General features: G+C 51.8%; 1 protein-coding gene across 14 annotated transcripts, besides 2 other annotated features; it reads right to left on the bottom strand.

Moving 5' to 3' along the window:
• Positions 1 to 77: 77 nt before the first annotated feature.
• On the bottom strand, positions 78 to 26,274 carry TMEM175 (transmembrane protein 175). 14 transcript variants are annotated; one of them, XM_017008701.2, is made up of 12 exons: positions 26,194 to 26,274; positions 12,608 to 12,735; positions 10,842 to 11,025; positions 10,580 to 10,618; positions 8,216 to 8,313; positions 7,476 to 7,527; positions 7,017 to 7,052; positions 6,284 to 6,367; positions 5,380 to 5,544; positions 3,251 to 3,329; positions 2,844 to 2,979; positions 78 to 910 (listed from the first exon to the last, which is right to left on the bottom strand). In XM_017008701.2, the coding sequence occupies exons 3-12, from the start codon at positions 10,992 to 10,994 to the stop codon at positions 238 to 240; spliced, it is 1,515 nt and encodes a 504-aa protein (XP_016864190.1). In that variant the 5' UTR covers positions 10,995 to 11,025; positions 12,608 to 12,735; positions 26,194 to 26,274; the 3' UTR covers positions 78 to 237. The 14 variants fall into 14 exon arrangements, with proteins under 14 accessions (XP_016864190.1, NP_001284355.1, NP_001284356.1 ...); NM_001297426.2 differs by lacking the exon at positions 12,608 to 12,735 and adding an exon at positions 10,119 to 10,323 and having other exon boundaries at positions 7,017 to 7,088; NM_001297427.2 differs by lacking the exon at positions 12,608 to 12,735 and having other exon boundaries at positions 7,017 to 7,088; positions 10,119 to 10,618.
• Positions 13,005 to 13,598: an enhancer, noted in NCBI's record as "H3K4me1 hESC enhancer chr4:938924-939517 (GRCh37/hg19 assembly coordinates)". NCBI's record gives its function as "activates a minimal SCP1, AML or CMV promoter by ChIP-STARR-seq in naive H9 embryonic stem cells {active_cell/tissue: H9 hESC(naive)}" and the evidence as "EXISTENCE:reporter gene assay evidence [ECO:0000049][PMID:30033119]".
• Positions 25,833 to 26,152: an enhancer, noted in NCBI's record as "active region_21140". NCBI's record gives its function as "activates an Ori minimal core promoter by ATAC-STARR-seq in GM12878 lymphoblastoid cells {active_cell/tissue: GM12878}" and the evidence as "EXISTENCE:reporter gene assay evidence [ECO:0000049][PMID:35858748]".

The following is a 26,310-nucleotide window of genomic DNA, read 5'->3' as shown; positions in this document are numbered from 1 at the left end:
AGAGTGGATAGGCAAATGCCATAAAGCACATTTCCAGTTCCTGTGAAACTCCTCTCTCCGCAAAAAGTGGAGAACAATTTGAGGACTGAAATAAGAGCATGATATTTCACAATGAAAATAAAACCAGGCCACGCAAGAACCACTGCGGCCTGCCCGTGACTTGGCTTCCCCTGCCCAGCATCCTGTCCTCCCTGGTCCATCTCTGGTGAGGACGGCTGGGAGTGGGCTCTGTGGCTGCTAGCAGGGGGCAGGGAGGAGCTGGGACTGTGGGTCGTCCTGGCCCGTGGGGGCTGGCGGGGGGTGTTCGGGCCGGGCGAGGCCCCGCAGGACCCGCAGGGTGGCCAGGGCCAGGCCCACGAGCAGGCGCAGCAACAGGAAGGCGCAGGGCACGGCGATCTGCATGAGGTGGAAGATGCCCACACTGAACCTGCTCAGCAGGCAGGTGGAGGCGAAGGCCAGCAGGCTGGCACAGGGGTACAGCGCCAGCTTGGCGAACATGAGCACATGCTCCCGGCCGCCAAACCACACCGAGGGCTGCAGCGTCTCCGCCTGGTGCAGCAGCGCCGTGGTCCACATGGCCAGCTGGAAGATGCTGGCCAGGAAGATGATGGTGCAGCTGACACGCACGCGCTCCAGCTCATCGCGGGGCTGCCGGGCGAAGGCCGAGGTCTGCTGGTAGGCTAGTGGGAGGCCACCCACGAAGGCCAGCGAGAGCGTGTTCAGCAGCCCCATGGCCCGCGTGGCCTTGCGCACATGCAGGAAGAGTGAGTGGTGGGCGAACCACAGCAGTCCCACTGTGGCGAAGGAGCCGAAGTACGCCAGGAAGCGCGGCCCGGTCGCACTCAGGGCGGCCACGAGGCTGCCGCTGAACCTCTCCTTCACATCCTTGGGGTCCGGGACGTTGTCTTCGCTGAGAACAGTGAATAGATGCATTTGTGCCGGCCTTGCCGTGGCCACACAGGCCCCAGCAGGGTGGCTGAGCGCCTGTCAGGGCTGCCTGGATCTGGCACGTTTTCAGATGAACCATGTGGACTTCCCAGTGTGCTAAATTTCAGAACGCCGTATTTATGTGTATTTGGCACACTGACTGTTACGTGCTGTTCATCTGAAATTCCATAGAAACTGGCACCCTTCTGCTCTGTGCTAATGGGAGCCCAACCCTGCTGGCCCAGAGTGCTGCTGGGGGCCCTGGGCTGCAGCCCTCTCTGGCCGAGGCTCTCCTGTGTTTGCTGGGCAGGACCAGCCTGCTGTGGGGCAGCGAGGTCTGTTCCCTCCCAGCTTCCAGCCCTCGGAGCCACCCACACAACACCCTGGCTGAAGATCTGCAGAGGGCTTGCCTCCACGGTTCTCAGATGCACATGGGGGTCTCAGGAGGCCAACTCCCTCCACAGGGAGGCTGTGGGAACCCCCTTGTCAGGGCTGCTGCCTTCTGACGGCACCACCCAGAAAGCCGGGAACAGTGTCGTCCTTCAACATCGGGAAGTGAAGGACAGTGGTCCTCATGCAGCCCCAGACAGACTTCTGTCCTCCAGAACAATACGCAGAGGGCGAGGGGTGAGGGGTGGGGGTTGGGGGCAGGAGACAGACTGGAGGCAGCAAGGGCAGGAAGTTGCTGGGAGGGGGCAGCTCCCCTGGCCATGGCTCCAGGTGGAGGAGAGGTCACTGTCCCGGCCCCACGCTGCTGCCTCTCTTCGGCAGGTCCCTCCCAAGGGGAGCCTCAGCTGGCCTGCACAATCAGGCAGCTCACCCTGGAGCATCCCTGGCACCTGGGCCTTAGAGATCAGATGCCAATGAACGTTTGCTTCCCGTTTTTAAAAATGCACACGACAGCAGAGAAGAGCATCAGGAGACTTGGACTCGAGAATATCAAGTACAGGATATAAAACCATAGTGTCTAACCCCAAGGTGGTCACAGTGCTGAACTATGACGAGGGAACAAGACACTCCAAAAGGATGGAAGATGTAAAAAAGCAAATTCAAACATTACGATGGCCGGGCACGGTGGCTTACACCTGTAATCCCAGCACTTTGGGAGGCCGAGGTGGGCAGATCACCTGAGGTCAGGAGTTCAAGACCAGCCTGGCCAACTTGGTGAAACCTCATCTCTATTAAAAATGCAAAAAGTTAGCTGGGCATGGTGGTGGGTGCTTGTAATCCCAACTACTTGGGAGGCTGAGGCAGGAGAATTGCTTGAACCTGGGAGGCGGAGGTTGCAGTGAGCTGAGCTTGAGCCACTATACTCCAGCCTGGGCGACACAGCAGGACTGTCTCAAAAAAAAAAAAAAAAAAACCCCACAAAAACCAAAAACGTGACGACTGAGACGAGACGCGCGCTCTAACAGACGAAGAGGCAGATGAGGCCGCGGAGGAGCAGACGCTGGAAGGAAGCAACAGCCAGCCAAAGGGAGCAGGAGGGGCTGCGAAGCGATGGGGGGCACTGGGAGGGAGCCGGAGGGAATGGGAGGGACTAGGGACTAGGAGGGGCTGGTGTTGGGGCAGGGGTGAGGCCTGGGGCAGGGGGATACCCATGGCTGCTGAGCCCCTCTGAGAGGAGTGAGGAGAGCAGTTGGCTGCTGGTGCTGACCTCACCCTGGCACCCCATCCTCGGCTGTGCTTGGGGTGGGAGCCGCTGGGAAGGGAGGGGCCGCTGGGAAGGGAGGGGCCGCCGGGAAGGTTGTCCTCCCTGAAGTGGGGGCTGCCCTGACCTCACACAAAACTCTAGGCATCCAGAGGAGGGTGGAGCCAAGACCCCTGTGCCTTTCTGGGGTTTCCAGGATGAGACGCCAGGGACTCAAGACACATTGGCCACCTGATAGCTGGGGCAGGTGACGCGGGGTCCTCACCAGATGTCCAGGATGAGAAGCGTGGCCACGATGGCGTAGACTCCGTCGCTGAAGGCTTCCACGCGCTCCTTGCTGAGTGGCTCGTGGAGGTCAAACGAGAAGACTTCCACTGGGTGAGCCGAGGGCTCCCTGTGGCCTGGGGACACGCCAGGAGGGTGGAGCTGGCCAAACCCCCCATGTGGAGGTAGAGCCCGCGTGGCTGTCACCGCCCTCATCCATGAAGAGGCCTGGAATGTGCAGGCCAGGAGAGGAGACAGGACAGGGACGCCCGAGGGGCGGAGTGGGGGAGCCCCAGCCACCACCACGCACACGGGCCTCGGCCCACGGACAGCCCTCAGTGCGGAGCAGCCGCACGGAGGTGGGCGGACTACAGGCCTCTCAGGCCAGCCCACCCAGTCATCACCTACCCAGGAGCCTGTCTCTGCACCAGCCGGTGACCTTGCTGACATAGGGGAGGAGGATGACAGTCACCATCAGCAGGTAAGACTGCAGGGAGACAAACCGCAGGTCAGTGCCCTCCACAGGGGTCCGAGGCCAGGCCTTACCCACACAAAGCTGTGTGCCAAAGCAGGGGCTGCGGCAGAAGGGAGGGTCTTTGCAGATCATGTATCTGATGGGGCCTAGTACCCAAAAAGTGTAAAGGATTCTTAAGCCAGCACAGTGGCTCATGCCTGTAATCCCAGCACTTTGTGGGGCTGAGGCAGGTGGATCGCTTGGGCCCAAGAGTTCGAGACCAGCCTGGGCAACATAGTAAGACTGTATCTCTACGAAAAATAAAAAATTAGTCAGGTGTGACTGTGTGTGCCTGTTGAACCTGGGAGACAGGAGTTGCAGTGAGAGGTGACCCAGCTCACTGCACTCCAGCCTGGGTGACAGAGCAAGACCGTGTCTTAAAATTTATCGTCTATCTCCCTATCTGAAATTCTTACAACTCAAAAATAAAAGGACGACCCAATTAAAAATGGGCAAAGGATGAGAACAGACATTGCTCCAAACAAAACATGCAAATGGTCGACCTCTCGCAGATCAAAACCACAACGAGATTCTTCATATCCACTAGGATGGAGAGAACTGAAAAACAGCAGGTGTTGATGAGGATGTGGACAAACTGGAACCACCATGTGCTGCTGGTGGGAATGTAAAATGCTGCAGCTGCTGTGGAAGTTTGGTGGTTCCTCAAAAAATTAAACTTAAAAAATTAAACAGAATCACCAAATGACCCAGAAACTCACTGTGGGCACACACACCAACAGCCTGAGAAGACAGATCTGAAGAGACACGTGTCCAGCAATGCTCAGAGAGGCATCACTCCAGCAATGCCCACAGTGGCTCCACACGCAACAATGCTCACACCGGCGCCACTCACGGCAGCTACACGTCTCCAGCAGTGCTCACAGCGGCGCCACTCACGACACCTACACGTCTCCAGCAGTGCTTTTGTTGCCTTCTCCCTCTCCCTAGTGGCTCACATTCTCCAAGCACCAACAGCTGATGTCCCCATGAGCAGATACTGGTCTTATCCCCAGGGGCTCCTCCTCCAAACACTGTTTGATGTTTACTGTCCTGACACAGTTTTGTATAGATTCCTTATCCAAAAGAAAATAGGCTGGACGCAGTGGCTCATGCCTGCAATCCCAGCACTTTGGGAGGCTGAGGTGGGTGGATCACAAGGTCAGGAGTTCGAGACCAGCCTGGCCAACATGGTGAAACCCCGTGTCTACTAAAAATACAAAACTTAGCTGAGGGTGGTGGCAGGCACCTGTAATCCCGGCTACTCAGGAGGCTGAGGCAGGAGAATTGCTTGAACCTGGGAGGCAGAGGTTGCAATGAGCCGAGATTGCGCCAGTGCACTCCAGCCTGGCAGCAAAACTCCGTCTCAAGAAAAAAAAAAGAAAAAAAGAAAATAAAGGCTGGCGTGGTGGCTCACACTGTAATCCAGCACTTTGGGAGGCTAAGGCGGGAGGATCACTTTAGTCCAGGCATTCCAGACTAACCTGGGCAATATAGCAAGACTCTGTCTCCACAAAAAATACCAAAACTACCCAGGTGTGGTGGTGCACACCTGTAGTCCCAGCTACTTGGGAGGCTGAGGTGAGAGAATCACTTGAGCCCGGGAGGTCGAGGCTGTGGTGAGCCAAGATCACACCACTGCCCTCCGGCCTGGGTGACACAGCGAGATCTTGCCTCAATGAACAAAAAACAAAACAAGAAAACGCATGCACCCCCGGATTCCGGGTGTCGCTGTTTCTGGTCATCGTCATCGTGAAGCTTCTCTGAGAAGGACACTCAGCTGCCCCTTCCTTCGATGAGCGTCCGTCTCTGTCCTCGACAGGCTGGGTCTCGGGGCCTCAGGTGGAGCAGGCCTCCCTCCCTGGTGCCACTCACTGCAGCCCTGGGCCTCACACACAAGACCCTGGGTGGAACCCCTGCCTGTCTGCGCTCTGCCCCCACCCCCGTGTTTGTTGCTCAGCGGGGACATTGCTCCTATGGTGGCCCCCGTTCCTGCCTGGGCCCCACGGGCTGTCCCAGCACTCACCAAGGGGACAAAGAAGAGAGAGAAGATGGCCGCTGCAAAGCACAGGGCCGGGCCTTGGAGGACGATGCCCAGGACGTGTCGTCGGTACAGAGCCCTGTGGGCAGAGCGCTGGATCTGCGGGCTCAGCAGGTGCGGGAAGTGGAATGCGTACCCCACAATCAGTGCCTGCGGGAAAAGCAAGCTGTAGGACACAGGCCCCAAGAGCAGAGGGGGCCCCCACAGCAGTCAACCCCCGGGCTGCATGGCACACGCACGCAAGGGTCTCGAGGTGGGGAGGACCTGGCCCCGGGCTGCATGGCACGCGCGCACAGGGGTCTTGGGGTGGGGGAGGACCTGGCGAGTAGAGGTGGGCTTGTACCTGGGACACTTTGGGCACAGGGGCTGAGGTGGAGAGAGAACAGGAGCCCCTGCTGGCTCCTGGGGCCGCATGTGGGGGGTCTCAGGGCCCACTCTTCCCAGTCTCTGGTCAGAAAGCGGGGACTCTGGGCATGCCACATCCTATGTGTGTAGGTGGCCTCAGGAACCCTACCTGTGTGACCTGACGGCAATCGATCACTCACACATATACACACACACATACAGCACACACACACACACAGCACAGGGCCCCGGGCCCCAAGAGGGCTGATGGTGAACACACACGCACACACACACACAGAGCACAGGACCCCGGGCCCCAAGAGCACTGATGGTGAACACACACACACACACACACACACACACACAGCACAGGACCCCAGGCCCCAAGAGGGCTGATGGTGAACACACACACACACACACACACACACACAGTGCAGGCCCCCTGGGCCCCCTACCTGCACGACCCCGATGGTGATCACACACACACACACACACACACACACACACACACACACACACAGTGCAGGCCCCCCAGGCCCCCTACCTGCACGACCCCAATGGCGATCACACACACACAGAACAAGAAGATGCCCAGAGGCACATCAGGGAAGGTCACCATTAACGAAAACTGTTAAAACAAAAACAAAACCAAACCCCCCCAAATCCTAGGTTACCAGGCCCCAGAGCCTGGAACTGGGCCATGGTGAGCCTCCCCACTCCACGGGACGCTGGGAGATGCGGTGGGGCCATCACAGGATGGCGCCAGCTGGGTGCTGGGGGGCATGTGTCCAAACTGCCCCCACCCCAACCAACTCCACCAGATGTCTCAGGCCTTTAAAGCCAAAATGTCATCCGATTCATACGGAATTCCCCAGACCCCAGTTCCTTGTGGCACACAGCCCCGCACACTCAGACTAGCGGCCACTGCCAGAATTTGGAGGCACTTTCACAGCCTGAGTAGTACAGGGCGGGTGGTCGGAGGCTGTAGGGGCTGCACGCCAGGGACAGGCCTGGGATGGGCAGGGGGCTGTGGGCTCAGGGCCGGGTGGGAGCTGGGAGCGCCGGTGACTCCCTCATCGGGGCCACTGCCTCCCCTCCCCGCCAGCCTGAAAGAAGCCCCCAACAGCCCAACAGCTGGCTCTCCCCAGAACCTTCTCTCTTCTCTACAACCGTGTGGCCTGGGCCCTGGGCCATCCAGCTGGTCTGCTTTTGAGGACAGGTCAAATCCAGTGGTGCCCAGCAAAGCCTCAGGGTGTCAGGGGCCTGGTGTTGCTCACCGTGTAAGGCAGGAAGGTGATGGTCATCATGCAGGCCTGGAGGGAGGGAGGGCATCACAGCCATGATGCGGCCTGGGGAGAAGGGCAGGGGAATGGACAGAGCCCACTCCGGGAAGGCACAGGGCTGGGCCCTCCCCAAGAAGGGTGGGCCAGCGAGTGTGAGTCCAGCCCCCAGACCCTGCAGGGCCAGATGGGGGCACTCATCCTCTCTGTCCCCTACACCTGTGCCCAACCCAGTGCCCCTGGTCCCCCACACCCTGGCTGTGTCTGGGAGGAGATATAGGCTGGCGACCCATGGGGAGGGAAAGATCATTCAAGGAGCTCCCAGCTGTGGACAGATTCCAGGCTCCGAGACTCCCTGGAGGTCACGAGAGAGGCCGGCTGCTCCCTTCCCCTCTTCCCTGAGGGTCAGATTACAGACCAGAGTCACTCCCCAGAAAAGGACCGGAAAATACTCACCAGGTTGAGCAGGGCAAGTGTGTCGTCTGTTTTCCCAACAACTTGGAACAACCTAAACCATTTAAGAAAAAGATAGACAATAAAACGCGGTTGTAGTAACATTAAATGCACACACACTCTTTCCAGCATCTTCTGGTTAAAACATCATTAAAAGATGTCACTGTTAACCAAATATAAACTACTACCTAGTGCACGGAGTTTGGAAAACACGAAGGAAATGAAGTTCCCTAGAAAGCACCCTGCTCCCATCCACACCCTGCACCATCCGCACCGCCCACACCTCCGCCTACTGCACCATCCACACCATCCACACCTCCACCTATTGCACCATCCACACCATCCACACCATCCACACCTCCACCTATTGCACCATCCACACCTCCACCTACTGCACCGTCCACACCTCCGCCTACTGCACCATCCACACCATCCACACCTCCACCTATTGCACCATCCACACCATCCACACCTCCGCCTACTGCACCATCCACACCGTCCACACCTCCACCTATTGCACCATCCACACCTCCACCTACTGCACCGTCCACACCTCCGCCTACTGCACCATCCACACTGTCCCAGGCCCTGGGTTTGGGGTAAGTCCTGCCATCCCCACGCGGATGAGGGTGGGAGGAGTAGCCTGCTGTCCTCCCCGACCCCATGGACCCGTGCGTGATGTGGTGCGGGGTACGGGAACCTTGAGAGCAGCTATGGACCGCTGGAAGCGCCCGGGCCCCCACCTTGTGTGTGCTGCCCAGGCCACTGTCACGATGAGAAAGGTCATCAGGTAGACGGCAATCCGTGTTGCCAGAAGCCTCTGTACACTTCTGTCGAACTGCTGGAATACAAGAGCACTGCTGTCAGAGCCCAGGTGACATGAGTGTCCCTGAATGGCAGTCGAGACAGCACCGTGAGGGGGGGCTGGCCTCGGCCCAGGGCAGGGCGAAACCCTCGGGTGGGTCCTGTGAGGCACCTGGGAGGGTCCTGGCCTCCCCAGCAGACCCTGAGTGCCCTGGTCTGGGTCCAGCCTCCGTCTCCAGCTGGTCTGTCTCCCCTGGCACCTGCAGCCCCCACCCCTCCAGCCCCCACCCCTTCTCCAGGGCGCTGATCCATGCCCACACCCACAGGTGTACTCCAGAGTGTTCTATGGGCTGTGTTCCTGCTGGGGGGTCAGCTCTTAATGGGCTCGGTGTCTGCTGTGGACTCCGCCTCAGGGATGGTACCCTCTGTGTATCCGCATGTGGGAGGGGACAGGAGGGCAAAAGCACCAGGTCACGAATGTCATTCATGAGGCTCTGCCATCATAACCGGGTCACCACCGAAAGGCTCTGCCTCACAACGCCATCCCTGTGAGGCGTCCGGCATGCGGACTTCGGAAGGACACACAGGTTGACAGCACAAAAGGGTCACACCTGGCACTGCCTAGGTAGGCAATTCCAAAGCAGCCACGGGAAAGGGTCTCTGTGGAAGCTGCGAGGGACCCCGAAGGCAGCCTGCCCTGGGGGCCGCGGTGGGCGTGGAGGCACCGGGGCCCTCGCCCTCCAGCCCTGGGAAGGTTTTCATGCTTTCTCCACGAACGCTCCCAACAGAACACTGAGCACTTTACTGTCTCCCTTGGTTCTTCACTTGCAGGCAGGTCTCTGGGTCAATAACTTAGTGTTTCAGTCACTTCTTAATTGAGTCCCATTTAGCTTTTCGAATCATGGGTTTTCAAAGTTACAACTGTCTTTTATTTTTCATCAGAGTGAGCACAGCCCCAGGAGTCCCCTCTCCTCACAAGGAGGTGTCCACTGTTCTAGCACCTTCCCTGGGACACACGTCAGGCCTTTCCCTCTTCACATAAATGTGTTCTCTGAATGAGCTTTTGACTCTCCAGGACTTTCTGAGACTCAGACCCTCCCTGTGACCCAGTTAGGACAACAGAGAAAAGACAGGGCACTAAACACCACAGTCCTAGAAAGGTGCCCTGGCTGCAGAGAAGTCGGAGCAGGTTTAGGTTCACAGGTTTTTATTTTCAACCACCCGGGCCCTTCATTGTCATGCGCCCTCTGGCACGGGCATCACAGGTGGATGTGGCCGTACCTCAGCGACCCCGTTCTGAAAGGGGCAGCCAAGGCCAGTACCTCACGACTGCATTTGGCCAAGCCCACCCCATGGGCCTCGGTGGGGACGCAGCTTTCCTGAGCAGCTGCCCCCCTAGGGAGGGCGGGAGCGGCTCTGGGGTCCCAGTGCCTGTGCTGCTTGCTGCCTGCTGGTGCCCAGGGTCTCCCTGCAGACTGGGCCAGGCTCCACCCGCATTTCTACTTATGAAAACCCTATGTAAAGTCTCATCATCCCCTTCGCACAGCTGAGAAAGCCGAACTCTAAGCAGCTCCCATGACTTCTCGGCGTCCCCCAGGCTCAGCTCACGAGTCAGGACTGGAGGCCCAACCTCAGTACTGGCCCAGGAAGGGCTACGTGGTCACTGCTGTGCCTTGCGCACCCATGAAGCTTGGGCCGCACGACCCTGTCATGAGGACACAGAGCCAGGCAGGTGTGGGCCCCAGACGCCCTCCAGTCATTCCCCTTCTAAGATGCTGTTTGGCTCTTTAGCTCAGAAACAGTCAAGGTGGAAACTCTGCTTGTAAACCCTTTCCCGCTCACCTCCAGGCCTGCAGGAGCAGCCGGGGTGGGAGTGTCCCCGCTGAGACGGGGCGCTGGCCGCGTTTACTCAGAGCAGCTACGTAAGGGGCCTGCCTGCTGGGGCAGCTGCCCTCCCGCAGAGGAAACTTCTGTCCTTGGGGCAGGCCCGGAACCTTCCTCTTCCAACCTGTCCTCTGGCTCACTTCCAGGGTGCTGCCTTTGTCCACTGAACTCGGAAACAGAGCCCTAGGAGCCCAGTCTCCCACCCTCCCAGGAGGCCAGGACCTCCGCCGGGGTGAGCACAGGCTGAGCAGGACTTGTTGGCTCCCTCCCTTTCCAAGGAGGCCCCCGCCTCCCGCCTCTGCCTCCTAAGCCTCAGAAGCTTCGAGGCGTGCAGGGTCAGCACCCTGTGCCAGGTCGAGCCTCGGGGACCCTATATCTTCGCAGGGCCACACCACGCAGAGCACAGCCTGCCCCGTTACCTGTTCTGGGGAGATCTCCGTGTGGGTCACAGGCAGGATCTGAGGGGGCAAAGAGACAGAAGGAAGCAGGAGAGCAAGAGACGCTTGTTGGATTGGGTGTGGCAGTACTGGGGACTCGAGGGCAGTGCTGGGCCCCCCTAAGCTGCCTGAGGAGCTGGGGGACCCAAGGATGCTGGCAAGACCTAGACAGGTCTGAGGTGGGCTGGGCAGTGCCTCGAGAGGCTCGGGGTGGGGCAGGCCTAAGCAGGGGCCCCGTACAGACCATGACGGTGGCGATGATGGACAGCAGGGCGTCACTGAAGCTGAGCATGCGTTGGGAGCACTGGATCCCCTCCCCAGCGTCCTCGTCTCTCCTGCCTGGGGGGCAGTCCCCCGGTGTATCCAGTGCCTGCTCTGGGGTCCGGGGCTGGGACATGGCGGGGCCGCTGCCTGGCGGTTACAGGAGCCTGGGAGGAAAGGCAGGTCTGAGTGTGCCTGTGGGGCGCTCCTGGAGGTCGGCCATGCAGCCTCAGCCCTGGTGCAGGGACAGGGACTGGTATGGGGGGGGGCTTGGCCGCCACTGAGCAGGGGAAGGGTCCACGCTGCTCTGTCCTCTCCCAGGTGCCCCTCAAATTTCTGGCCTCCAGGCTGAGAGGCCAACAACAGATGCCACTCCCGGCCCTGTTACTGGTGAACACTGATCTGGGTGGACTGGGCCTCAGTTTCTCCTCAGGAAACGGGAGAGACAAGGAAAGGCACAGAGATCACAGACCCCAAGGCCGACCTAAACGTGGAAGAGGAACACAGCACCCTGCGGGGCCCTTGACCGTGCATGCGTGCCTGGGGCTGTCTGTTCTCTACAGGGCCCGTGCACACGTGCCTGGGGCTGTCTGTTCTCTACAGGGCCGCGCTCTCCCCCGCTCTCGCTCTCGGGGCCCGTGCACACGTGCCTGGGGCTGTCTGTTCTCTACAGGGGCCGCGCTCTCCCTCAGTCTCGGCACCTGTGCACGTATGCCTGGGGCTGTCTCCTACAGGGGCTGCGCTCTCCCCCGGTCTCGGCGCCCGTGCACGCATGCCTGGGGCTGTCTGTTCTCTACAGGGGCCGCGCTCTCCCTCGGTCTCGGCGCCCGTGCACGCGTGCCTGGGGCTGTCTCCTACAGGGGCCGCGCTCTCCCTCGGTCTCGGCGCCTGTGCACGCGTGCCTGGGGCTGTCTCCTACAGGGGCCGTGCTCTCCCTCGGTCTCGGCGCCTGTGCACGCGTGCCTGGGGCTGTCTCCTACGGGGCCGCGCTCTCCCTCGGTCTCGGCGCCTGTGCACGCGTGCCTGGGGCTGTTTCCTACAGGGGCCGCGCTCTCCCTTGGTGACCTTTGGGGAAACCAAGGCCCTGCATATGTAGCCAGTTAGCACCAGGGCAGGCACTCCAGTCCGCCTGTGGGAGCCGGGGCTGGGTGCACACTGGGCACACGCCACAGCTGTGGCTCAGCACAGCACTCCCCAGGCATTTTTAATATCAGAGATGCATCTGGGAAGATGAATAAGATGCCAGGTGGAGAGTACTCTGGACAGAAGAGACCCCAGCGCCTCACGGAGACAGAACTGAGGTATGGCTGCAGGAGCCATTGCTGCATGGTGCTGGGCAGCCTCGTGCCAACCAGGCACTATGGATTTCACCCTGCACCCGAGTGGGCAGCCTCGTGCCAACCAGGCACTATGGATTTCACCCTGCACCCGAGTGGGCAGCCTCGTGCCAACCAGGCACTATGGATTTCACCCTGCACCCGAGGTGGAGGCTGGGCACACTGAGACAAGTTCCCCAAACATAGAATGTGGCCAGAGAGCCCCATGTTGGCTGAGCCCCACCTGCAGCCAGGTGCCCCGGAGCAGGGAAGAGGGCAGCAGTGTGTCAAGGACGCCAGTCAGAAGGGCTGCTATGACCTAGGAGAGGAGTGACGGAGGTCTGGCATCCCAGGAGACACACAGCATGTGGGAAAGCAGCTCCTAAGAGTATTGGGGGCTGCCGTGGGGGGTGACGGAGAAGGGGGAGCCCACCTGGCCCTGATGCCACCGTGGTGAGGAAGGTAGGTCAGGGCACATTCTTGAGGGATGGTGAGTGCTTGCTTCAGGCTTGTTTCCTGGGACACAGCAGAAGCACCGGAGGCTGTCTCAGGGCAGGGGAGCTATGGGGATGGAAGGAGTCAGGCTGGAGCTGCAGCCTTCAAAGGTACCTCGGATTGAGCCGTGTTAGAAACAGAAGTAATTTCTGTGCTACTTGGAAATGTGGGGGTGGTCCGAGGGAGTGGCACCCGGGAAGGAGGAGAGGAGCAGCCGGGGGCAGGACAGGCTGGGCTCTCCACCATTTAAGGGGCGGAGACCTCTTCAGGAAGGGTATGGGGAGAGCCCTTCAGCACCAGCGGGAGGTGACAAGCCAGAGCCCCCAGGTTTTACTCCAAAGGGGGTGCTGTTTACTTGGCCAAGGGCATCAGGGGACTGAAATATGTGGCCAGCTAGAGGGTCCGCAGGAAGAGGGATGTGCTGTAGTCTGCTCACACCAAGGCGAGACGCACAAAAACAAGGAGAGTTCACCCCAGAGAATGGACAGAGGCTCACTGGTTTCCAGCCGGGAAAAACAAACACACAAGGCATTCCACTTCACTAGCAATCAGGGAGATCGGGGAGGTGCAAATGAAACGGAGAGAGGCCAGCCAGGGTGGTGGGCGTGAGGCGACGGGAGGGCAGGGACCTGGGGAAAACAGAAACCGAGGCTGGAATGAACGGTGGGGACAGACGGCGGGGAGTGAGACGACAGGACGGCAAAGACGTGGGGAAAACAGAAGCTGAGGCAGCAACAAACGGCGGGGAGTGAGGAGACAGAGACGGCGGGGGCCTGGGGAAACAGAAACTGAGGCAGGAATGTAAACGGACATGTGTGTTTCAGCGACAGTTTAGCAACAGTTAATAAGGTGTAGTGCCATACCCTCCAAGGGTCCATTCCAGGCAGTCTCACTGGGACTGCCATGACAGGCTGCCTAGGGTCTGCACTGAGGCAACACGCAGTTTTTCTTTTTTTCTTTTTGAGACAGGGTCTCAGTCTGTTGCCCACGCTGGAGGGCAGTGGCGTAATCACGGCTCACTGCAGCCTCGACCTCCTAGGCTCAAGTGATCCTCCCACCTCAGCCTCCTGTGTTGCTGGGACTACAGGCGTGCACCACCAAGCCTGGCTAATTTTTTGTATTTTTCATAGAGACAGGGGTTTCATCATGTTGCCCAGGCTGGTCTTGAAGTCCTGGGCTCAAGCAATCTCCTTGCCTCAGCCTCCCAAAGTGCTTGGATTACAGGCGAGAGCCACCGCAGCCAGCCCGGTGTGTTTTAACAATAAAACTAAAACACATTCTGACTAGTAAGGGACAAATCATTAAACCATGAAGTAAACTATCAGAAAGTTAAAACAGATCTACAAGTATAGAACTATAAAACAAAATGTTGAGACAAAAAAATCAAGTTGCAAAACCATACTATTGTACCATTTATGTAAACAATGGACACATAAAACCATCTATCTTCTTAATTATACACACACCGTATGTGTATACGGTAAGAAATGAAAACCACAAATAAGAACAATGTTCGCCAACTTCCAGACAGCGCTGCAGCAACCCAGGCAGGGAGGGGCGGGGAGCAGGTGGGGGGCTTTTGCTCTATGCCCAGGTTACTTCTTACCTAGAATGCAGACAGGCATGTAACCACAGCTAGCCACAATCCAGCAAACTGTTCTATCCCCAAACAGCATCTTTGTGTTCAAGCTTCCCCAACCCCAAGCTCCAGCAACCACTGATCTGTTTTCTGTCACTGTAATTTTGCCTCGTTTATTTAGTTAATTATTTTTTTGAGACAGTCTTGCTCTGTCGCCCAGGCTGGATTGCAGTGGCACGATCGCAGCTCACTGCAACCTCCGCCTCCTGGGTTCAAGCGATTCTTGTGCCTCAGCCTCCCGAGCAGCTGGGATTACAGGCACCAGCCACCATGCCTGGCTAATTTTTGTATTTTTAGTACAGACAGGGTTTCACCATGATTCCCAGGCTGGTGTCAAACTCCTGACCTCAGGTGATCCACCTACCTTGGCCTCCCGAAATGCTGGGATTGCATGCGTGAGCCACTGCACCCAGCCAATTTTGCCTTTTTTAGAATGTGGTATAAACGGAATCGCACCCTCCAGAGGTTTTGAGTCTAGCTTCTTTCGAGACTCATCTGTGGTGCTGGGAGTATCAGTAACACACTTCTTTGGTTGCTGTGTGGTAATTTCACTGCATGGACACACCTCAGTTTGTGGATCCACTTACCAGCTGAAAAACGTGTGTATTGTTTCATTTTGCACAATTATGAATAAAGCCACTATATATAAACGTTTGCACACAGGCATTTGTGTAAACATGTTTTCATGACTTTTGGGTAAATGCCTTTGAGTGGTTTTGCTGGGTCGTATTGTAAGGACATGTTTCCTTCCTGAGAAACCACCCGACAATTTGCCGAGGCAGCTGCACCATCTGCATTCCCACCGACAGGCATGAGACCTGCGCTTGCTCATCTCCTCTGGTACTCAGTTTGGCACAGCTTAGAGAAATAATTTAGCTGGGCGCGGTGGCTCATGCCTGTAATCCCAGAACTTTGGGAGGCCGAGGCGGGCAGATCACTTGAGGTCCGGAGTTCGAGACCAGCCTGGCTAACATGGTGAAACCCCATCTCTACTAAAAATACAAAAATTAGCTGGGTGTGGTGGCACACACCTGTAATCCCAGCTACTCGGGAGGCTGAGGCAGGAGAATTGCTTGATCCCAGAAAGTGGACGTTGCGGTGAGCCAAGATCGTGCCACTGCACTCCAGGCTGGGAGACAGAGTAAGACTCCGTCTAGGAAAAAAATAGTAATAATAAAAATCAATAATTCAATTAATTTATTTTAGTCATTCTAGTACTCGTGTAGGGGTGTCTCATTGTGGTTTTAATCTGCTATTTCTCTACTGACTAATTAGGCATCTTTCATCTGTATAGCTTTCACAGTGAAGTGTCTTAGAATCTTTGCTTGTTTACTGAGTTGTTTGTAATGTCATTGAGTTTTGAGAGTTCTTTATATTCTAGTTAAAAATCCTGCAAGATGTGTAATTTGGAAATATTTTCTTGCAGTCTGTGGCTTGTCTTTTCACTCTCTTACCAGTCTTTAGGAGAACAGAAGTTCTGAATTTTGGCTGGGCGCAGTGGCTCACACCTGTAATCCCAGCATTTTGGGAGGCAGAGGCGGGCGGATCACCTGAGATGAGGGGTTCAAGACCAGCCTGGCCAACATGGCAAAACCCCATCTCTACTAAAAATACAAAAATTAGCTGGACGTAGTGGTGTGCGCCTGTAGTCCCAGCTACTCAGGAGGCTGAAGCAAGAGAATCGCTTGAACCTGGGAGGCGAAGGTTGCAGTGAGCTGAGATTGCACCACTGTACGCCATCCTGGGTGACAGAGTGAGACTCTGTCTCAAAAAGAAAAAAAAAAAAAAAGAAAATTCAAGGAACCTTAACAGCCAAAATAATATTGAAAAAGAACAAAATTGGGAGCACTCCCACTTTCTGATTTCAAAATTTAGTACAAAGCTACAGTAGTCAAGACAGCATAGACACAGACCAATGGAATATAGTTCAGAAATAAACCCCTACATTTATGGTTAACTGATTTTGACAAGGATGCCGAGACCACTCGATGGGAAAAGAAAAGTCTTTTTCACAAATGGTGTTGGGACAACTGAATATCCACATGCAAAAGAATGAATTCGGGCCGGGCATGGTGGCTCATGCCCAAAATCCCAGCACTTTGGGAGGCTGAGGAAGGCGGATCACAAGGTCAGGAGATCGAGATCATCCTGGCCAAGATGGTGAAACCTCGTCTCTACTAAAAATACAAAAATTAGCTGGGCATGGTTGCACGTGCCTGTAGTCCCAGCTACTCAGCTACTCGAGAGGCTGAGGCAGGAGAATCGCTTGAACCCGGGAGGCGGAGGTTGCAGTGAGCCGAGATCGCACCACTGCACTCCAGCCTAGCAATAGAGAGAGACTCTATCTCAAAAAAAAAAGAAAAAAAAAGAATGAATTCGGACTCAACCTAATTAATACACATACAAAAGTTAACTCGAAGTGGATCAATGATGTAAATGTAAGAGTTAAAACTATAAAACTCTTGGAAGATGATGCCGGAGAAAATCATTTCATGACATTGGGTTTGACAAAATATTCTTTTTTTTTCTTTTTTTATAAAGACATGGGGTCTATGTGGCCCAGGCTGGGCTCTAGCAATTCTCCTGCCTCGGCCTCCCAAGTAGCTGGGATTATAGGAATGAGCCACCACGCCTGGCCAAAATTGATTTTTTCTTTAAGCCGTTTTAGGTTTATAGAAAAACTTAGCAGAGGCCGGGCGCGGTGGCTCACTCCTGTAATCCCAGTACTTTGGGAGGCCAAGGTGGGCGGATCACCTGATGTCAGGAGTTCAAGACCAGCCTGGCCAACATGAAACCCCACCTCTACTAAAAATACAAAAATTAGCTGGGTGTGGTGGTACGCGTCTGTAATTCCAGCTACTCGGGAGTTTGACGCAGGAGTATTTCTTGAACCAGGGAGGCAGACGCTGCCGTGAGCCGAGATTACGCCACTGCACTGCAACCTGAGTGACAGAGCCAGACTCCATCTCAAGAAAAAAAAAAAAAAGAAAAATAGAGCAGAAAGTACAGAGTTTTTTTTGTTTTGTTTCTTTTTTTTTTTTTTTTTTTTGAGACAGAGTTTCGCTCTTGCTACCCAGGCTGGAGTGCAATGGCACGATCTCGGCTCATTGCAACCTCTGCCTCCTGGGTTTAAACGATTCTCCTGTGTCAGCCTCCCGAGCAGCTGGGATTACAGGTGCCTGCCATAACACCCAGCTAATTTTTGTATTTTTAGTAGAGATAGGGTTTCACCATGTTGGCCAGGATGGTCTTGAACTCCTGACCTCGTAATCTGCCCACCTTGGCCTCCCAAAGTGTTGGGATTACAGGCGTGAGCCACTGCACCCGGCCCAGAGTTCTTTTATACACTTTCACATCCCCCTTTCCCCTTTCTCCCATTATTATTATTATTATTATTATTATTATTATTATTATTATTTTGAGACGGAGTCTCACTCTGTCACCCAGGCTGGAGTGCAGTGGCACAATCTTGGCTCACTGCAACCTCCGACTCCTGGGTTCAAGCGATTCTCCTGCCTCAGCCTCCTGAGTAGCTGGGATTACAGGCACACGCCACCACGCCTGGCTAATTTTTGTATTTTTAGTAAAGATGGAGTTTCACCATGTTGGTCAGGCTGATCTCGAACTCCTGACCTCGTGATCCACCCACCTCAGCCTCCCAAAATGCTGGGATTACAGGCATGAGCCACCATGTCTGGCCTCCCTTTCTCCTATTATTAACATCTTACATTGGTGTGGCACATACGGCACAATTGACAAGCAAATATTCATACATCACAATTAACCTAAGTCCATAGTTTACATTAGGCTTCATTCTGTGCTGTATTCTATGGGTTTTGACAAATGTAAAATGACTTGTTTTCACCAAAACAGTATCATACAGAATAGTTTAAACACCCTAAAAATCTCTGGTGCTCCACCCTCCCTCTTTCTTCCTGAACCCCTAGCAACTACTGCTTTTTTTTTTTTTTTTTTTTGAGATCGAGTTTCACTCTTGCTGCCCAGGCTGGAGTGCAATGGTGCAATCTCGGCTCACTGCAACCTCCAGCTCCCAGGTTCAAGTGATTCTCCTGTCTCAGCCTCCTGAGTAGCTGGGATTACAGGCGCATGCCACCACGCCCAGCTAATTTTGTATTTTTAGTAAAGGTGGGGCTTCACCATGTTGGCCAGGCTGGTCTCGAACTCCAGACCTCAGTTGATCTGACTGCCTTGGCCTCCGAAAGTGCTGGGATTACAGGCGTGAGCCACTGCGCCTGGCCTACTGCTCTTTTTACTGTCTTCATAATTTTGCCTTTTCCAGAATGTTCTATAGTTAGAATCATACAGTATGGAACCTTTTCAGATTGGCTTCTTTCATTGAGCAATATGCATTTAAGGTTCCTTCAAGTCTTGTTGTTGCTTGATAGCTTATCTTTTTATTATTGAATGCTACCCTATGTTATGGACTTACAGGTTATCTATTCACCTATTGTTCATATGGGCTATTTTCAACAGCATATTATAAAGTTCTTCACGCTGATGAAATCCAGTTTATCTGTTTCCTTCATGGGATCAAGCTTTTAGTGTCATGGCTAAAAATCTCACAGAACATTTCACACATTTTCTTCCATGAGTTTTATAGTTTTAGATCTCACATTTAGATTTATGATTTTGAGTTAACTTTTATACATAATGCTAGGTAAGGGTTAAGGTTTTCTTTTTTCTTTTTTTGAGGCGGAGTCTCACTCTGTCACTCAGGCTGGAGTGCAGTGGCATGATCTCAGCTTACTGCAACCTCCACCTCCTGGGTTTAAGCAATTCTCCTGCCTCGGCCTCCTGAGTAGCTGGGATTACAGGCACTCACCCCCACGCCCAGCTAATTTTTGTATTTTTAGTAGAGATGAGGTTTCACCATGTTGGTCAGGCTGGTCTCGAACTCCTGACCTCAAGTGATCTGCCTGCCTTGGCCTCCCAAAGTGCTGGGATTACAGGCGTGAGCCATTGCGCTCAGCTAATTTTTGTATTTTTAGTAGAAATGGGGTTTCTCCATGTTGGTCAGGCTGGTCTCGAACTCCTGACCTCAAGTGATCTGCCCGCCTCAGCCTCCCAAAGTGCTAGGATTACAGGCGTGAGCCACTGCACCCGGCCCAAGGTTCCTTTTTCTAAACACGTGAATATCCAATTTTTCCAGTATCATTTGTTGAAACAATTATTCTTTCTCCAATGAACTACTTTTACACCTTTATAAAAAATCAATTCAGCATAGATACCTGTGGGTCAATTTCTGGACTCTTCTATTTACCTACTTAGCTATCTTTATATCAACTCCACACTGTTGCCCAGGCTAGATTCAAACTCCCAGGCTCAAGGGATCCTCCCGCCTCAACCTGCTGAGTTGCTGCGACTACAGGCACGTACCTCTACACCCAGCCACCACAGTTTTGATTACTGTGGCTTTAAGTGTTTAAATTAGGTAATGTAAATCACACAATTTTGTCTTGTCCTTGTTCAATCTTGTATTGACTATTCTAGCTTCTTTGCAGAGCCAAGTAAATTTTAGAATCTATGTGTCAAATTCTCATAGTCTGCTGGGAATTTGACTGGTTTACATTGAATCTACAGGTGAATTTGAGAACTGCACTGTTGAATCTCCTAGTTTATGAATATGGCATATCTCTCCATTTATTATGGGCTTTAATTTCTCTCAGCTAATTTTTGTAGTTTTCAGCATATAAGTCTTGCACATCTTTTTTCACATTTATCCCAAGTATTTCAGACTTTTTGATGCTATTGTAAATGTTTCTAATTTCAACTTCCAATATTTATTGCTAGTACGTAGAAATAGAATTGATTTTTGCATATTTATCTTGTATCCTGGAACCCTGCTAAACTCACGAGTAGCTCTTTTTATAGATTCTATCCGATTTTTTTTTCTTTTTTTTGGAGACCGAGTCTCACTCTGTTGTCCAGAGTGGAGCACAGTGGTGCGATCTCAGCTCACTGCAACCTCCACTTCCCAGGTTCAAGTGATTCTCCTGCCTCAGCCTCCTGAGTGGCTGGGATTACAGGCGCCCGCCACCACACCCAGCTAATTTTTGTATTTTTAGTAGAGACGGGGTTTCACCGTGTTGGCCAGGCTGGTCTCAAACTCCTGACCTCAGGTGACCCACCCGACTCGGCCTCCTAAAGTGCTGGGATTACAAGTGTGAGCCACTGTGCCTGGCCCCAGCCCTCTTTTTCTTGCCTCATCACGTTGGCTAGAATTTCTAGTACAATGCTGAATAGAAGTGGTGAGATCAGACAGCCAGCCTTGGCTTGTTCCTGGTCTTAGGGGGAAAACATTCAGTCTTTTATTATTTCATATGATGCTAGCTGCAGGTTTTTCACAGATGCCCTTACTATACTGAGGAAGTTTCATTTTATTCCTAGTTTGCTGAGTTTTTTTTTTTTTAAATCAGTAATGGATGTTGGATTCTGTCAAATGCTTCTCTGTATCTATTGACATGATCCATTTTGTTTCTTCACTCTCAAGAGTGTGAATTACATTGATAAACTTTCAAATGCTAAGCCAACTTTGCCCTCTTGAGATATCCCACTCGGTCACGGTGTACTATCCTTTCTGTATATAGTGTTGGATTCAATTTGCTAAACAATGTTTTAAATGCATTTTCTTGTCTATGTTCACAAGAGATATTATCCTGTAATTTTCTAGTAACGTCTTTGTGGAATTCTGGTATCAGAATAATGCTGTAAGGAATGATGAGGTGGGAAATAATTCCTTCCTTCAACTTTCCGAGTTTGTATAGAACTGGTATTATTTCTTCCTTCAATGTTTAGTAGAATTCCCAGAGAAGCTATCTAAGTTTGGAGTCTTCTTTTTTTTGAGATCGAGTTTCACTCTTGTTGTCCAGGTTGGAGTGCAATGGCACAGTCTCAGCTTACTGCAACCTCTACCTCCTGGGTCCCAGTGATTCTCCTCCCTCAGCCTCCCAAGTAGCTGGGATTACAGGCACCTACCACCATGCTGGGTAATTTTTGTATTTTGAGTAGAAATGAGGTTTCACCATGTTGGCCAGGCTGGTCTTGAACTCCTGACCTCAGGTGATCCACCTGCCTCGGCCTCCCAAAGTGCTGGGATTACAGGCATGAGCTACTGTGCCCAGCCAAGTCTGGAGTCTTCTTTAAGGGAAGATTTGTCAACTATAAATTCAATGCTTTAATAGACATAGAGCTATTTAGGTTATCTATTCCCTTCTTAAAAAATTTACATTTTTAATTTTTATAGGTATATAGTAGGTGTATATATTCATGGGGTACATGTTCTGATACAAGCATGCAATGTGTAATAATCATATCATGAAGAATGGGGTATCCATCCCCTCAAAAAAAAAAGATGGTTAGATAACACAAAGTATGTTGCAATGCCTTAATTGTATGCATGTCAGGGCCTCTTTCATCCTTTCATACAACACAATTTCTCTTTTTTTTTTTGAGACAGAGTCCTACTGTGTCGCTAGACTGGAGTGCCGTGGCTCAATCTCGGCTCACTGCAACCTCCGACTCTCTGGTTCAAGCGATTCTCCTGCCTCAGCCTCCCAAGTAGCTGGGATTTCAGGCACATGCCACCATGCGCAGCTAATTTTTGTATCTTTTTTAGTAGAGATGGGGTTTCACCATGTTGGCCAGGATGGTCTTGATCTCCTGACCTTGTGATCCACCTGCCTTGGCCTCCCAAAGTGCTGGGATTACAGGCGTGAGCCACCGCGCCGGGCCCAACACAATTTCTTCTTAAATGAGCTTAAGTGGTTTGTGCTTTCCAGGAATTTGTTCGTTTAGTGTAAGCTGCTGAATTTGTTGGCCTAAAGTCCTTAATAATAGTCCCCGATTATCCTTTCCGTAGTGATGTCATTTCTCATTCCTGATATTGGTAATTTGTGTCTTGCCTTTTTCTTGTTCAATCTGGCCAGAGATTTTTCAATTTTATTAATCTCAAAGAATCAGCTTTTGGTTTCCCTGATTTTCTCTATTGCTTTTGTTATCTATTTTTTTGAATTCCACTCTGATACTTATTATCTGCCTTCTTATATTCACTTTGGGTTTCATTTCCTCTTACTTTTCTAGTTTCCTTTTTTTTTTTTTTGTGACAGAGTCTCAGCTCACTGCAATCTCCACCTCCCGGGTTCAAGCAATTCTCTTGCCTCAGGCTCCCAAGTAGCCGGAACTACAGGCGTGCACAGGCATGCACTGCTACACCCAGCTAATTTTTGTATTTTTAGTAGAGATGGGGTTTCACCATGTTGGCCAGGGTGGTCTTAAACTTCCGACCTCAAGTGATCTGCCCACCTCAGCCTGCCAAAGTGAGCTACCGTGCCCAGCCAACTTTTCTAGTTTCATAAGGTGATTGCTGAGGTCACTGATTTGAGACTTAACATTTAATACTGTTTTAGCTGCATCCCACCAGTTTTAAATGCTGCATTTTCATTTTCATTCTGTTCAAAATACTTTCTAATTTCCTTTTTGATTTCTTCTTTGACCCATGAGTTATTTAAAAGTGAGTTGAAAAAATATACAAAAAACAAAAGTGAGTTATTCAGTTTCCAAATATTGAAAGGATTTTCCAATCTGTTACTGATTTCTACTTTAATATTCAATATCATTCTGGTCAGATAACATACTTGTTTAATAGAACAGAATATGATCAGGCTTAATGTTTTAATGCACTTGAAAAATTGTGTATTCTGCTGTTATTGTGGGGAGTGTTCCATAAACATTCATTAGGTCAAGTTGGCTGACAGTCATGTTCAAGTCGCCTATATCCTCAGTGATTTTCTGGGTATCTATCCTATCGTTTATTGAGAAAGAATATTCTCCAACTACAATTGTGATTTTTCTCTCTCCTTGCAGCTATTAGTTTATGCTTTGTGTATTTTAGAGCTTTGTTATTAGGTGCATAAATGTTTAGGATTATCAAGTCTTTTCGATGAATTCACCCCTTCTTCATTACAAAATGATCCTCTTAATCTCTTGCAATACTCTTTGCTATGAAATTTAGGAAATCAGTTATAGGGATTAAGACTATAACTTCAGTTTTGGATATATACATGTTTATACATGTAGCAGTATCTAAGAACAAACATCTGAGAGTTCAGATGAGATATGGAGATAGATATTTGGGTTAAGATGGTGTTACTATAGCATCTACTTCAATGCCAATAAATAAAGGTGCTCCAGAAATATTCGTAAGATAAGTAGTCTGACTCTGGTTTCCAAAGTGATTACAAGGTTTAGAAATGTCCAGCTGATCCCAGGTCATGCCAGTATAAGTTCATGGCCTCCAGATGAGTGCTTAAACGCTCTCATGCTTTCCAGTGAGTTATTTGCTAGGTTTCTCATAATAGCTATTTTAGATCTTTTTGACACTGCTTAAATCTTGGGTTTCCTACTTCCCCTCTCACTTTCAGTTGATGTTTTTCTTTCCTCATTCACAATGAAAACAGAAGTCATTAGAGAATTCCTTCACCTTCATTCCAATAAATACATAAGGTCACCTACAACTGCAGCCCATTTTTCTTCCTGAGTGTTTTTCCTATGTCCAAAGCAAATATCTCTACCTATGCTCTTGATGTCATTCCCCTCCTATGTTCTAAGAGATAGAAGATATCTCATTAAGATAGAATTATCTTATTATTCCTCTTTTTTCTGTACCAGCAAACCTTCTCTCCCTTCCATCCGCTTTAGGCTGCTCAAGAATCTCTCATCTTAAAACATCTCAATACTACATCACCCTTGTAGCTCCCTGGAGCTAAGGGTGCCGAATTTGTTGGCCTGAAGTTGTTCATATTCTCTTCCACAGACAAACATTTTGAGTTATCTCCACTTGCCATCTCTACCTCATCATCTCTTCATCCCTCTACGGTAATATGTAGCTTCCACCTCATTACTCCAATGAAGCTATTCTTGGTGAGGTCACCAATGATCCCTTGTGAATAAATCCAACACATATCTTCCATTTCTTTTTCTACTTGACTTTTAAGTGGCATTCGACACTCTTAGCTGCACTCTCTGCCCCGAACATCCTCGTTCCTTGGCTCTGTTACGACACTCTCTTGGTTTTCTTCCTCCTTCACTGACTGCTCTTTCTCCACAAACTGTCTATTCTCTGAAGATTCTAACCTCTTTATGTCTAGTACACCATCTCTGTTGGTCCTCTCTTCAGCTCCTAGAGCCAACTGCCACCTCTATGCTGAGGATGCCCAGATATCTGTCTCTAGCAGGGATTCTTTCCTGAGCTCTCTATCCTTCTATTCCACAGTCGACCAGACAAACGCACTGGCTGGAAAAGCCATGACTTGCGTTGAATTGCAGTTGTATCACTTGTTGGCCCTGGCCGAATAATGGCATTGTTGAGCATATTTTCTCATCCCAAAATAAAGGGGGTTAATTATACTGTGCTTTCTTCACAAAGATGTTTTCACTACAATGAACTATTACAGAAAAGGGTGTTGTAAGCAATAAATCAGTGCCTAAACTAAGCTATTGCTACTGTTATTTTTGTTATATATATTTTTAAAGATGTCATTTGGCTTCATGCAATACTTCATTCCATAACATAGATAAGTGTTCCAACGAGCTGAGGCTATTATCTTTTAATGATAAAGATAACAGATGTTAGCTTCTGGGACGGCTAAGAGGCTGATGTGAGCTTTAGAATCCATTTTTGAGTTGGAGAACAAATAACTCTGTTGAAGGGGTTGCAACCTTAAATGACTATAGGAACCAGGCAGGTAACATACATGAGCCCATCTGGTCAGGCAAATGACTGTGTCTTACCTCAAGGGACCACTCTAGGTAATTGGTAACACACATCATTTTGGGTCCAATATTGACAGGTTTGATTTTTCCACAGAAGCTGGAAAACTAGGTTTTTAACATTTAGGCCTTTCAATTATTATTATTATTATTATTTATTTTTTGAGGCGGAGTCTCAGGCTAGGGTACAGTGGCGCCCGCCTCCCGGGTTCAAGCGATTCTCCTGCCTCAGCCTCCCGAGTAGCTGGGATTACAGGCACCCGCCACCACGCTCGGCTAATTTTTGTATTTTTAGTAGAGACGGGGTTTCACCATGTTGACCAGGCTGGTCTGGAACTCCTGACCTCAGGTGATCCGCCTGCCTCGGCCTCCCAAAGCACTGGGATTACAGGTGTAAGCCACCGCGCCTGGCATCAGTCTTTAAATGATAGCAACTAATTCACCTCCTGCTACCCACTCCCAACCCCCAAATACTGTGTGGGCCAAAAACTAAAAATGCATTGTCTGTGAGCCATTTCCTTATTATCCTATAAGGAAAGTCACCATTTCATCTCCAAATAGTTGGGCATTACGAACCCTTCCAAGTGGTTCATGAGGATTTGCTTTTGCCTTGGAAAATGTCAGGGTGAGAACGAACCTTGAGGGTCACAGGGCAGTCTCTGCAGTGTTGTGGTTGCCCAGGACGAAGGTTTTTCTAGCCCACGGCTCCCACTACTGGTCACTGCCCCAGGCCAGACCCTGGCCCTCTCCTCGGAAGACAGAGCAATGCAGCAGCGTTTCCCCTGCAAACTGCCTGCCTGGCTGCTGGGAGGGGGCTGCCAACCTTACTCACTAAGCGTCACAGGAAACTCCGACCTCCATGAGACGAAAACCAAGTATTTACTGAAAGCTTAACGCACGCTAACTCCTTGCTCCTTAGCCAACTGAGAGAAAAATTCGCGAACCCATTCGCAAACGCGGCGCTAACAGCAAACGGGAGGCTGACTCCACCCAGAGGATGGCGAAGCGCTTAAACCGGAGACACCTGAGAAGGAGCCTCCCACAAAACAGACCATGTGGGGAACGGTACCGGGAGCTGGACTGGGGCGCTGAACTACCTGGGCGGGAATCGCCTCGGCGACTGTTCCGCGCGCCTCCGCTTGAGTCAGCCCGGCCGGGAGCTTGACAGCCGGAAGTTCATCGCAAGCCCGGCGACGCCGCGCACGCGCTGTCTC

Source organism: Homo sapiens, chromosome 4, assembly GCF_000001405.40.
Source record: "Homo sapiens chromosome 4, GRCh38.p14 Primary Assembly".
Lineage (NCBI taxonomy): Eukaryota > Metazoa > Chordata > Mammalia > Primates > Hominidae > Homo > Homo sapiens.
Note: the sequence above shows the minus strand (reverse complement) of the source record. Positions and strands in the feature narration are given on the sequence as shown.